General features: G+C 50.4%; 1 protein-coding gene across 5 annotated transcripts in view, besides 4 other annotated features; it reads right to left on the reverse strand.

Annotated features, from left to right (window-relative positions):
- The window catches only part of NINJ2 (ninjurin 2), a 99150-nt gene that overhangs the window by 7570 nt on the left and 78708 nt on the right, over positions 1-12872 (reverse strand). The window lies entirely within an intron of this gene.
- Positions 268-896: an enhancer, noted in NCBI's record as "H3K4me1 hESC enhancer chr12:681299-681927 (GRCh37/hg19 assembly coordinates)". NCBI's record gives its function as "activates a minimal SCP1, AML or CMV promoter by ChIP-STARR-seq in primed H9 embryonic stem cells {active_cell/tissue: H9 hESC(primed)}" and the evidence as "EXISTENCE:reporter gene assay evidence [ECO:0000049][PMID:30033119]".
- Positions 4230-4731: an enhancer, noted in NCBI's record as "H3K4me1 hESC enhancer chr12:685261-685762 (GRCh37/hg19 assembly coordinates)". NCBI's record gives its function as "activates a minimal SCP1, AML or CMV promoter by ChIP-STARR-seq in naive H9 embryonic stem cells {active_cell/tissue: H9 hESC(naive)}" and the evidence as "EXISTENCE:reporter gene assay evidence [ECO:0000049][PMID:30033119]".
- Positions 4260-4529: a silencer, noted in NCBI's record as "silent region_4101". NCBI's record gives its function as "represses an Ori minimal core promoter by ATAC-STARR-seq in GM12878 lymphoblastoid cells {active_cell/tissue: GM12878}" and the evidence as "EXISTENCE:reporter gene assay evidence [ECO:0000049][PMID:35858748]".
- Positions 11778-12072: a silencer, noted in NCBI's record as "tiled region #2537; K562 Repressive non-DNase unmatched - State 7:EnhWF". NCBI's record gives its function as "represses a minimal TATA promoter and a strong SV40 promoter by Sharpr-MPRA in K562 cells {active_cell/tissue: K562}" and the evidence as "EXISTENCE:reporter gene assay evidence [ECO:0000049][PMID:27701403]".

The raw sequence follows: 12872 nt of genomic DNA on the forward strand, positions 1-12872 counted from the left end.
GTTGGGTAAACCCCAGAGTGGTAAGTAACTGCCCTACCAAAAAGCCATGGAGCCCGCAGATCAGTGTGTTTAGGCCCTGGGGCCTGTGGCAGGCAGTGTGTGTCCCAAGGGAAGTATAGGCATGGTGAGGGGAGTTGTAGCAGCCCAGAGGGCATCACCAAAGGCACCTTGACCACATTCCAGCCCTGCTTTAATGAGTGAGCAATCCGGGCCGGGAGCACTGGACGCCTTTTCTTATCATCTGCGAGGTCGAAGGGACTGGAACACAGGCTTCCTTGGGTCCTTCCTAGCACGGAGTAATCTAGGGATGGGAAAGCCGGCTCTGAGCGGAGAATCCCGGGGGCTGAGGACATCGCTGAGAGGCCGCTGCAGGGCATGGGTGACCTTCCCATGAGTCGTTCCTGCCAGCCCTGAGAACACCCACGTGGGAGCTTCCTGTGTGCCAGCGCACAGTCAGGGCTACACACTAGCAGGCCCAGAGGAACAGGGGCCTGTCACCCTGCTGGTGGCCTCAAAATGACCGACTGCCCGGGAAAGCCAGGCCTCCCTTGAGAAGGGGACAGTGGCGACCTAGGCTTTTGGAAAGCTGATTTCTCACAAAGGGAAAGGGTGGGTCCCAGCCTGGGAAGAGTGATTCGTTCAAAGGAAGGGGCTTAGGTGAGCTTTTAATTCGGTATCAGTCCTCTTGTCAGAATTCACTTGGGAAGGGTGCCTGGGCCTGTCACACTGTGTGCACACACAGTGGGCTCTCAGCACACTGGAACGATGGTGGTTCCCACTTACAGAGGACATACCTTGTGGCTGGCACAGGGTTAAACACAGGACATGAGTCACCTTATGTAGTCCTCACAACAGTTCTGCGAAGTAGATGAGGGCATCATCATCACAGTTGAGAAAATGGAGGCTCAGAGAGACTAAGTAACTTGCCCAAGATCACACAGCACAGAGTTTTTAATCCCAATCCTCTATGTGCCAGAGCCTGTAATTTTTTTTTTTTTTTTTTTTTTTGAGATGGAGTTTCACTTTTGTTGCCCAGGCTGGAGTGCAGTGGCACAATCTCAGCTCACTGCAACCTCCCACTCCAGGGTTCAAGCAATTCTCCTGCCTCAGCCTCCCGAGTAGCTGGGATTACAGGTGTGTGCCACCACACCCAGCTAATTTTTTTTTTTTTTTTTTTTGAGACAGAGTCTCGCTCTGTCGCCTAGGCTGGAGTGCAGTGGCGCAATCTCAGCTCACTGCAAGCTCCGCCTCCCGGGTTCACGCCATTCTCCTGCCTCAGCCTCCCGAGTAGCTGGGACTACAGGCGCCCGCCACCACACCCAGCTAATTTTTCTTATTTTTAGTAGAGACGGGGTTTCACCATGTTGCCCAGGCTCATCTCGAACTCATGACCTCAGGTGATTCACCTGCCTCAGCCTCCCAAAGTACTGGGATTATAGGCGTGAGCCACCACACCAGGCCCAGAGCCTGTAATTTTCACCCTTACTCTACTGTGCCCAAGAAGTGGAAGACATACTCCCTACTCCAAGGAGTTTAAGATTGAAAGATAAACACGTGCAGTCTGGCTGGGTGTGGTGCCGCATGCCTATTGCCATCCCAGCTATTTAGGAGGCTGAGACAGGAGAATTGCTTGAACCTCAGAGGCGGAGGTTGCAGTGGGACAAGATTGCACCACTGCACTCCAGCCTGGGCAACAGAGCAAGAGTCCATCTAAAACAAAAAAAACAGAAAAACAAAAAACAAACAAACAAAAAAACAGATAAAAAACAAAAACATATGCAGCCTAAGATGAAAGAAGACTAGTCCCATAGGGTACACATGCACACTTACTAAGAGGAGGCATAACCTCTACCTGAGTGAAACTTGTCTGAGGCTTTCCTGAATCTGCAGTGGGGCTGTGTCCCTGAGCCCCTGCACTGCTGCCTCAGAAGGGGCACTAGACCCAAAGACCCAAAGGCAAAAGGCTTGGGTTCAAACTGGTAAGAAGGGACCTGGGTGACTGGAAGAATAGGGTTGAGAGAAGGAATTTTATCTGTACCTTTTGAATTTTGAAACATGTGAATGAACTATCTTAAAAAATAAATTTGGCCGGGCAAGGTGGCTCATGCCTGTAATCCCAGCAGTTTGGGAGGCGGATCATGAGGTCAAGAGTTCGAGACCAGCCTGGCCAACATGATGAAACCCCGTCTCTACTAAAAATACAAAATTAGCAGGGTGTGGTGGTGCATGCTTATAATCCCAGCAACTTGGGAAGCTGAGGCAGGAGAATCGCTTGAACCTGGGAAGGCAGAGGTTGCAGTGAGCCGAGATGGTGCCACTGCACTCCAGCCTGGGCAACAAGAGCAAAACTCTGTCTCTAAAATAAATAAATAAATAGGCCAGGCGTGGAGGGAGGTTGCAGTGAGCTGATATTGTGCCACTGTACTCCAGCCAGGGTGACAGAGCGAGACTCCATCTCAAAAAAAATAATAATAATAACAATAATAAATTTGTAACAAAAGCAAATATGCACTCTGCTATGGTCTGAATGTGCCCCCTAAAGTTTATGGGTTGGAAACTTAATCCCTGCTGTAATAGTGTTGAGAAGTGGGAACTTTAAGAGGCAATTGGGTCACGAGGGCTCTGCCCTCATTTATGCCATTATCATGGCAGTGGGTCAGGTTATCTCAGGATTAAAAAAAAAAAAAAGGTGAGCTTGGCTCCCTTCCTCTCTCTTGGGCTTGCAAGCTCTCTGGCCCTGCCACCTTCTACCAGGGAAGGATGTGGCATGAAGGCCCTCACCAGATGCCAGTGCAATGTTCTTGGACTTGCCAGTCTCCAGAACCATGAGCCAAATACACTTCTATTGTTTATAAATCACCCAGTCTCAGTTATTCTGTTATAGCAACACAAAACAGACCAAGACATACCCCCAGAAGGCCAGTGGTTAAGATAAACATGTTAAAACAAAAGTGAATTTATGACTTCATCTCACCCAGACCCTAGCTGGTCCTCCTCTGAAGTGGGAATAATATCTGCCCTGTCTAGCACAAAGTGCTGTTAGAAAGATCAATAGGATCATGTGGGTGAATGTGCTTTGAAAGCTGTGAAGTATTAAACAAATATGAGATGAGAGGGAAATCTATCCCACAGAGGATTATACTCCCACGTGTGGGCCTAGAGGCATTTCAAATACTGTGTTGTGACTCAGGGCCCGTCCCAGCCCCAGTTTTGAAGTAGGCACCATTTATGGTCCTAACAACTTCCATGGTGTTTGAAATGCCTCCTGTACCCATTGGGCAGCCTCTCTCCTCGCTCCTGCTGGCTCTCGCCTTCGAGCCGCCTGCAGGAAGGGAAACACTCACACAAGCCCACCTGCATTGGGTCTCCAGGGTCATTGTTACTCAAGCGTAGTCCTCTCTCCTGGGGCCCCCACCCACCTCTCTAGCCTGGTCCCCAGCTCCTCCTCCCACCCCTGAAGAGCGAACCCTGTGCCCTGTGCCAGGCTCTGTGATGCTCAGACGTGCAGGGCCACACCAGATTACTCACTGTTCCCTGAACACACCCCACCCTTCCCAGCTGCTCCTGCTCTGCTCCAGGACTACAGGCCTTTCTTTCTTCACCATGCTCCCCCCAGGGAGAGCCTCCCCTCCTTTCTAGACCCTGTCCCCAAATGCACTCCACCAAGGCCCTGTTTGAAAGAAGGTCGCCTGCTCCCTGGCCTGTGCTGGCCTTGGGCGTTGTTGAGTCCTCCTGAGACGGCTCCTTCTGCTGCCCACTTTAGCACACGGACCCCATCTTCCACAGGCCTGAGTCTCCATGGAGCCTAGCTCAGCACCTTGCCCACATGAGGTACACAATGAATGATGATCGCATTGAATTTTTATGAGACAGCTTTTTCAAAAAAGGCAAAAGTAAGGCTCTTTAAGGGTGGGGCTTCAGGCACAGTGGCTTCTGGGTGGGGGAGAGGAGTTTGGGGAGTGAATCTTTGCTCTTAAACACCCCCACTGCAGGGAGAGCCCTTTTTCCCCTAGATCCTGCCTTTTCTCAGCAGTCCTGAGGGAGCCTCAGGGAATGAATGACTGGGGCTGGAAGCTGCAGCTGGTCTTCAGGCCAAAAGCTGTAAAAGCCCAGACCCCTGAGGCCTTCTGTCTGGGGCAGGCCGCATGCAGGCTCCTGACTGCAGCCAAGAGCAGTGATCTCGCCCTTAAAAATCAACAGTCTCTAATCCACGTCGGGGTGGGGTTTCTTTTGCGTGTTATTCCAGCAATAATACGTAACTGGTCCAGAAACCGCCTCTGAGCCCTGGGCACAGTCTCACTGAGAGTTCCAGCCCTTGCCCCGAGCTGCAAACTGGGGCCTAAAGCTGCAGCACCGAGAGGCCACGTGGGGCGAGGCCTCCCCGGAAGGCCTGCGGCGCCGCCGTTGTCCACCAGGGGGCGCCAGGAAACGGCGCGGCGAGGCCCCAGCTCAACCCGCCCGCGCGGGCACACCCGGGCTTTGACCCCTTTGTGATCGAGGACACGGACGGGTTTCTCTCCAACAAAAGGGGGCCATAAATTACAAACGGAAGCAGAGTGTGTAGGGAAGAACAGGAAAGCACGTGCGTTGAAACCGGAACTCGGGCCTGCTTGCTTGCTTATTTATTTTAGTTATTACTGTTTTCTTGGGGCAGGCCCTTGCTCTGTCGCCCAGGCTGCGGGGTGGTGGCCCCGTCATAGCTCACTGCAGCCTCAACCTCGGGGCTCAAGCGACCCTCCTGCTTCAGTCTCCCAAAGTGCCGGGGCTGCAGGCGCGAGCCGCCACCCCGGCCTCCGTGCTCTTTCTCAGGGAGCATTTTCCACCTCCCCTGCAAGAGGCCGTTTTGCCAGTGGCTTTCAGAAAAGACTGTTGTCATCTCGGGGTTCAGAGTTAATCGTGGATTTACCTACCACACAGAAATTTCCAAAGAATCGATCTGCTCCCTCTCAATATCCACCCTAAACAAGAGCACTTTCCCAATCAGCGCCTTGTCCTGGGGCTTCCAGACCCATCTGGCCTTTTGCTCTTTGCTCTATGCCCACTTGAGCTGTGAGGTTCTCAGAGACATTCCCCAAAGCCCTCCCAGCCGATCTCTGCTGACTTCAATCCTACTCATCCCTCAGGGGCTAACAAAATTGTTAAAATTTAAACAGTAATAATTAAATAATGATATTGCTGTATGTCAGGCATGACTCCACAAAGCAGGTATTAATACAGATGGTCCCCAGCTTTCGCACCATCGTAAGTGATACACTTTACAAACTGTCCTTCGAGTAGCCATACAACCACTCTCTTTTTCACTTTCAGTACATTATTCAATAAATTACACAAGATATTCAATAGTCTCTTATAAAGTAGGCTTTGTGTTAGATGATGTTGCCCAGCAGTAGGCTGGTGTAAGTGGGCTGAGCACGCTGAAGTTAAGCTAGGCTAAACTATGAAGTTCAGTAGGCTAAGTGTATTAAATGCATTTTGACTTACAATATTTTCAACTTACTATGGGTTTATCAGAATGTAGCTCTATCATAAGTTGAGAAGCAACACTAGTCTCATATATATATATACATATATATATATAAATATTTTGGCACGATCTTGGCTCACTGCAACCTCCACCTCCTGGATTCAAGCAATTCTCCTGCCTCAGCCTCCCAAGTAACTGGGATGTAGTCCCATTCTACAAGTGAAGAAGTTGAGGCTCAAAGAGGTCAAATGCCCAAAGTCACCAGATACTGAGGGATGGCCCCAGTGTCTAAATCCTAAGCCTGCGTTTTTCTCCTATATGCCAGTGGTTCTCCATGTGTGCTCCTTGAAGTAGCAGCAGCAACATCACCTGAAAACTCACTAGAAATGAAAAATTTTTAAATTTTTGTAGAGATGGGGTCTCACCATGTCGGCCAGGCTAAGTCTCAAACTCCTGAGTTCAAGCGATTCTCCCACCTCAGCCTCCCAAACTGTTGGGATTACAGGCGTGAGCCACTGCACCAGGCCCCGAGATCACCCTTTTATTTTTATTTTTTTTTAAGACAGGATCTCCCTCTGTCACCCTAAGGGAGGAGACCATCCCTCACATTGTCTTATGCCCAATTTCTGCCTCCAAATAAAGAAGAAGTAAAAACTAAAAGGCAGAAATGAAATCCACGAGCAGACAGCCCGGCCCCATACCCTGGGCCTGGTAGTTAAAGATCGACCCCTGACGTAATCAGTTATTTGTATAAGAAAAGCACTGTGAAGATCCCTGTCCTGTTCTGTTCCGTTCTAATTACCGGTGCATGCAGCCCCCGGTCACGTACCCCCTGATTACTCAATCAATCATGACCCTCTCACGCGGACCCCCTTAAAAGTTGTGAGCCCTTAAAAGGGACAGGAATTGCTCACTCGGGGAGCTCGGTTGTTGGAGATGTGAATCTTGCCAAAGCTCCTGGCCGAATAAAGCCCTTCTTTCTTTAACTCGGTGCCTGAGGGGTGTTGTCTGCGGCTTGCCCTGCTACAACCCAGGCTGGAGTGCAGTGGTGCAATCATGGCTCACTGTAGCTTCAAACTCCTGGGCTCAAGGGATCCTCTTGCCATAGCCTCCTGGGTAGCTGGGACTACAAGTGCACACCACTACACTACATTTTTAAAACGTTTTTTGTAGGAATGTGGTCTCGCTATGTTGCCCAGGCTGGTTTTGAACTCCTGGCCTCAAGGGATCCTCTCATCTTGCACCCTCAAAGTGCTGGGATTACAAGCATGAACCACTACACCCGGCCGAGAGCACCCATTTTTTAAGTATTAGAGCTGGCCTTTGAACCCAGCCAGGCTCTGGATTCTGTGTCCTTAACTGCTACAGCCCTGGAAGCATAGGCTGTGTAAGTCCCTCAACAATGGGGACCAGTCTAAAATATTTATAGGTAGCATATCTAGATCATTCCAGAGAGGAGTGAATGGATCCAAACTGTCTTTTGAACCAGCAGCCAGAGGCCCCAGCAGCTCCTGTCTTCCCAGCCCAGTGCTGCCAGCTGCTGCTGCTCATGAGTCTGTAAGGGTCTAGTGCTTTTATTCCCAGATCCTTTTCATGTCCTCACTCAGAAGCACTGAGAGCCTCTCGTTTTTGCTGAACCTTAGATTTTGTGATGGAGCCTAAATCCAGACAGGAAACCTAAACACGGGTAAGTGGAAAGGACTTTCAGAACAATTAATCATGAAGCAAAATGTCAACATTCCACATAAGGGTGTATATGAGTTTTGTATGTCCCCACTAGATTATACATTTCCAAAAGGTAAGAGTTATTTCCTCGGGATTTCAGGCAATTAGAATAAGAAGCAATGAGAGCTGAGCCTGCAGTCTCTGGCTATCGTCCAGGTGAGACCTCATGAAGTAGATCAGATCTGACAGTGAGATGGGAGAAAGGGAAGGTGGTGAATTTCCCACCCCACCCAGCCCTGCAGACAGCCTGCCAAGATTCCTACTGAGTTCAATGCAACAAACCTGTTTCCAGCTCCTAGCACGAGCTAGGCATCTAGGATACAACGAAGATCCCTGCCTTCCCGAAGCCCCTGTGAAAGAAAACTAGACTCTTGAGACCCCCAAATTCACCATGATGAAGAGAAAGTTAAGCTTGGACATGGAGTCACACAAAACAAAACAAAAACAAAACAAAACAAACAAAACAAAACAAAACAACTGCCTTCCTTGTGTTCCCAAACGGCAGTCATTTCACATGCTTACTTTATCTTACATAAAATGCGGATTCACCGAGCCCAGGACAAATACATAATTGATCCGCCCCCACTCCCTCTTGTCACATGTAAAATGTAGATTCATCGAGCACTATCAGAGCCTCACAAGAATGTGCCCCGAGCCTCACTGCCTACCCAACCTCCTTTTAAAAAAGCTTCCCCTCTTGCTTTGCTCTTTCCCTTTAAATATTGAAATTCCCAAAATCCTCTTTGGAAAAAGCATAGGTCACAGATCCTATGGTGTTTCTTTTCTCTGAGTTCACCCTCAACCTTGGCAAAACAAATCTCTCCTCAATGGAGATCTGTCTCAGTCACGTTTCGGTTTACATCCTATTCTCCTAATCCCCTAAAATGACAAAGCTTAGCAGAGAATAAGAGAATAAGCACTGGGCTGGGAAGACAGGAGCTGCTGGGGCCTCTGGCTGCTGGTTCAAAAGACGGTTTGGATCCATTCACTCCTCTCTGGAATGATCTAGATATGCTACCTATAAATATTTTAGACTGGTCCCCATTGTTGAGGGACTTACACAGCCTATGCTTCCAGGGCTGTAGCAGTTAAGGACACAGAATCCAGAGCCTGTATAAAGTGTATAAAGGGGGAAGCCAGGAGATAGAGAGCTTATCCATCCCTCCCCAGTGGAAAAGCTTCATGGGAACAAGGGGGCGCCTCACCTGGAGTGCTGAATGAATGAAGGAGTGAATGAATGATGCATTTGTCAGCAGTGCATGGTGGCTCACACCTGTAATCCCAGCACTTTGGGAGGCCGAGGCAGGTGGATCACTTGAGGTCAGGAGTTTGAGATGAGCCTGGGCAAAATGGTGAAACCCCATCTCTACTAAAAATACAAAAATTAGCCAGATGTGGTGGTGCACGCCTATAATTCCAGCTACTCGGGAGGCTGAGGCAGGAGAATCACTTGAACCTGGAGGCAAAGGTTGCAGGGAGACAAGATCACACCACTGCACTCCAGCCTGCATGACAGAGAGAGACCCTGTCTCAAAAAAAAAAAAATATATATATATATATATCCATTTGTCATTCACTGCATTCAGAAGAGACTTCAAAGGCAGGACCAGGGTGAGCTGAACTCCATGAACCTCTTCTGTGGCACCTTCTGGGGGTGCCTGCCAATGGCTATAGTATACAAACACCTCGACTGCGCTGCTGACTCCCCTCCATATGCCACGGCAGCCACAATGTGTTTTCTGTGTGTGTGTGTCTGTGTGTATGCGTGTGTGTCTGTGTGTATGCATGTGTGTCTGTGTGTGCATGAGTGTCTGTGTGAATGTGTCTATGCATGTGTCTGTGTGTCTGTGTGTGTGTCTGTATGTTTGTGTGTGTGTGCCTGTGTGTCTGTGTGTATTCATGTGTGTTTGTGTGTATGTGTGTGTCCATGTCTCTGTGCATATGTCTGTGTGAATGTGTGTGTTCATGTCTTGTGTATGTGTCTGTGTGTGTCTGTGTCTGTGTGTGCGTGTCTCTGTGCCTCTGTGTGTGTGTGCATGTGTCTCTGTGTGTCTGTGTCTGTGTGTGCGTGTCTCTGTGCCTCTGTGTGTGTGTGCATGTGTCTCTGTGTGTGTGTGTGTGTCTGTGTGTGTGTCTGTCTCTGTGTGCGTGTGTGTGTCTATTGTCCCTGAGCTCAGCAGTATCCTGGGTCCTGGCCATAGACCTGTAGATGAGACAGGCTACAGACAAGGCAGGGATACTGGTGCATTATCCGGAGGGAGCTCGGGGGGCCCAGGAGGTCAAGATAGAGAAGTCCCTGAGCACTGAGTCTGGGGATCAAAGCCGCTCCTGATTGGTGGGCCAGCCTGAATCTGCTGCGCCTGCCAGCTTCAGCCAATCCAAGGAGGCCTGGGCCTGGAACCAGCCTGCCTGGATTGCCTGGCCCTAGGACTCATGCCTTTTCCCTGCCAGCAAAGCAGGTCCAGCCTGGATCCTCATACCGGGGCTCTCCTGTCCTTCCTCAGGATTCGAAATGGGGCCAGTCACACATTCTCCCAGCCCTGACACCTGAACCTGAGCAGCAGCTCTGTGAAGGGGGCCAGGGTCTGCTCTGGGGAGAAGGTAAGCAGGGGAGGGCCGGCAAGTGGGTGCAGGGATCTGATCCCACTGCTGACCATCCAACTCACGCAGCTTCGGTGCTTCCCAGCTCACTCGTCTGTAGAAAGAGGAGACACCCCTTCCTCCTCGTGGTGAGAAGCTAGTATCTGGTGAAATAGGTGAGCTGCTGCCAAACTCAGCAAAACCCTCAGCAAAAGTCAATGTAAGTCCCAGGCGATGTCTAACTCAGCCCCAAGGTGTCCTGAGAACCAGATTCTCCGCGGACGCTGAACACACAAAAAGCCCAGCCCTGGAGGGATTCCAATCCACAGCCTCTCCCTGGCTCCCTGCACTGACCCCATGTGCGGCCAGGCTCCCTGTGCATCCCCCTTCACTTCTCACAGAGGCCCTGTGAGGGGAAACAGGCTCCAGAGAGGACAGAACTTACCCAAAGTCACACGGCTAGGAGATCAGAGGCAAGATTTGAACCCGGGTCTGTCCTCACCACTGTGTTCCTCCTCCCGCAGCTCTTAGGCCAGAGTCCTGGGGAATCCTTTCCTCCAGTGCCTAACACAGAATTTGGCTGGGAGCGTGTGCTCAGGAGTGAATGAATGAATGGACGCAGGCAGGCAGGCATGCTAGTGTGAATGAATGAATGGACGCAGGCAGGCAGGCATGCTAGAGTGAATGAATGAATGGACGCAGGCAGGCAGGCATGCTAGAGTGAATGAATGAATGGGCGCAGGCAGGCAGGCATGCTAGAGTGAATGAATGAATGGACGCAGGCAGGCATGCTAGAGTGAATGAATGAATGGACGCAGGCAGGCAGGCATGCTAGTGTGAATGAATGAATGGGCACAGGCAGGCAGGCATGCTAGAGTGAATGAATGAATGGACGCAGGCAGGCAGGCATGCTAGAGTGAATGAATGAATGGACGCAGGCAGGCAGGCATGCTAGAGTGAATGAATGAATGGGCGCAGGCAGGCAGGCATGCTAGAGTGAATGAATGAATGGGCGCAGGCAGGCAGGCATGCTAGAGTGAATGAATGAATGGACGCAGGCAGGCATGCTAGAGTGAATGAATGAATGGACGCAGGCAGGCATGCTAGAGTGAATGAATGAATGGACGCAGGCAGGCAGGCATGCTAGAGTGAATGAATGAATGGACGCAGGCAGGCAGGCATGCTGGTGTGAATGAATGAATGGGCGCAGGCAGGCAGGCATGCTGGTGTGAATGAATGAATGGGCGCAGGCAGGCAGGCATGCTAGAGTGAATGAATGAATGGACGCAGGCAGGCAGGCATGCTAGAGTGAATGAATGAATGGGCGCAGGCAGGCAGGCATGCTAGAGTGAATGAATGAATGGGCGCAGGCAGGCAGGCATGCTAGAGTGAATGAATGAATGGGCGCAGGCAGGCAGGCATGCTAGAGTGAATGAATGAATGGGCGCAGGCAGGCAGGCATGCTAGTGTGAATGAATGAATGGGCGCAGGCAGGCAGGCATGCTAGTGTGAATGAATGAATGGGTGCAGGCAGGCAGGCATGCTAGAGTGAATGAATGAATGGGTGCAGGCAGGCAGGCATGCTAGTGTGAATGAATGAATGGGCGCAGGCAGGCAGGCATGCTAGTCCTGCCTTTAGCGCTGGCCCAGATTCAGGCTAGAAGTGCCCTTTCCACAGCTCAGGGCGATGCCCCAGGGCAGCCAGGCAAGTGTCAGGTCCCTGCTGTGCCTTCACCCTCTTTCTAAAAATACTAACGAGCGAGAGACCTCCAAGGCCACCAAACAGATATCCAGTTGTTCTCTGGGGTCAGTCCTTCACAGCCTGAGGCTGCCACCTGGCACCTGCCGCCTCTGGGCCTCCCGCCTGACAGCTGACCCCTGTCATCGCTGTGACTGTTCACTGTAAGGCAAAGTCCAGTTTGGCAGAGGTGGGGACTCCTGAGCAGCCAGGTCCAGCTTGGCCCAGCCTTGCCCATGCTGAATTGTGGGATACCAGGACAGCTTGGGGGTCTCCAACCCTGAGCCCAACCAAAGCAAACCCTTCTTTTTTGCTGGGGCTCTATTTCCACAGCCATGAAATGGAGGCGGTCAACCCCTGCAAAGCCTCGAAGTGTGAGTGGCAGCCTGGCTTGAGGACGCGGACACTTAGAACCAGGACAGCGGAGTCGAGACCTGGCCCTGCCCCTTCATAGCTGCATGGCTTGGGAGCTCTCTCAGTCACCTACTAAAAATGGGGATCGTAAGATTACAGAACAGTGATAGCATTAACCTATTTTTAAGGATCTATATTTATATACTTAGATCAATCTGATAGGGTGCAGACTAAAATATTAAGCATCGTCTTGAGGCGATAGGATATCAGATATTATTTTCTTTTTTTGCTTTATCTGTATTTTCTAATTTTTCTTCAATGAACATTTGGAGTAAAAAAAAAACCCAAAATGTTAAAGCAACAACCAGATAATTAGTACTTAAGTATTTGTCCTGACTTACAGGACAGTTTGAGAATGATGTTTATGAAAGTGGTTTACAAACTGTAAAGTTCTTTGCAAATGTAAATGGTCCTTATCATTTTCTCCAAGGGCATTTTGGAACTACAGGGATGGGGAGAGAATCGTTTCCTGGCCAGGTGCGGTGGCTCACACCTTTAATCCCAGCACTTAGGGAGGCTGAGGTGGGCAAATCACTTGAGCCCAGAAGTTCCAGCCAGCCTGGGAAACATAACGAGACCCTGTCTCCATGAAAAACTTTTTTGGCTGGACACGGTGGCTCACGCCTGTAATCCCAGCACTATGGGAGGCTGAGCTGGGTTGATCACCTGAGGTCAGGAGTTTGAGACCAGCCTGGCCAACATAGTGAAACCCTATCTCTACTAAAAATTAAAAAATTAGCCGAGCATGGTGGCACCCGCCTGTAATCCCAGCACTTTGGGAGGCGGAGGCAGGTGGATCATCTGAGATGAGGAGTTTGAGATCAGCCTGGCCAACATAGTGAAACCCCATATCTACTAAAAATACAAAATTTAGCCGGGTGTGGTGGCGGGTGCCTGTAATCCCAGCTGCTCAGGAGGCTAAGGCAGGAGAATCACTTGAACCCGGGAGGT

This window comes from Homo sapiens, chromosome 12 (genome assembly GCF_000001405.40).
Source record: "Homo sapiens chromosome 12, GRCh38.p14 Primary Assembly".
Classification (NCBI taxonomy): domain Eukaryota; kingdom Metazoa; phylum Chordata; class Mammalia; order Primates; family Hominidae; genus Homo; species Homo sapiens.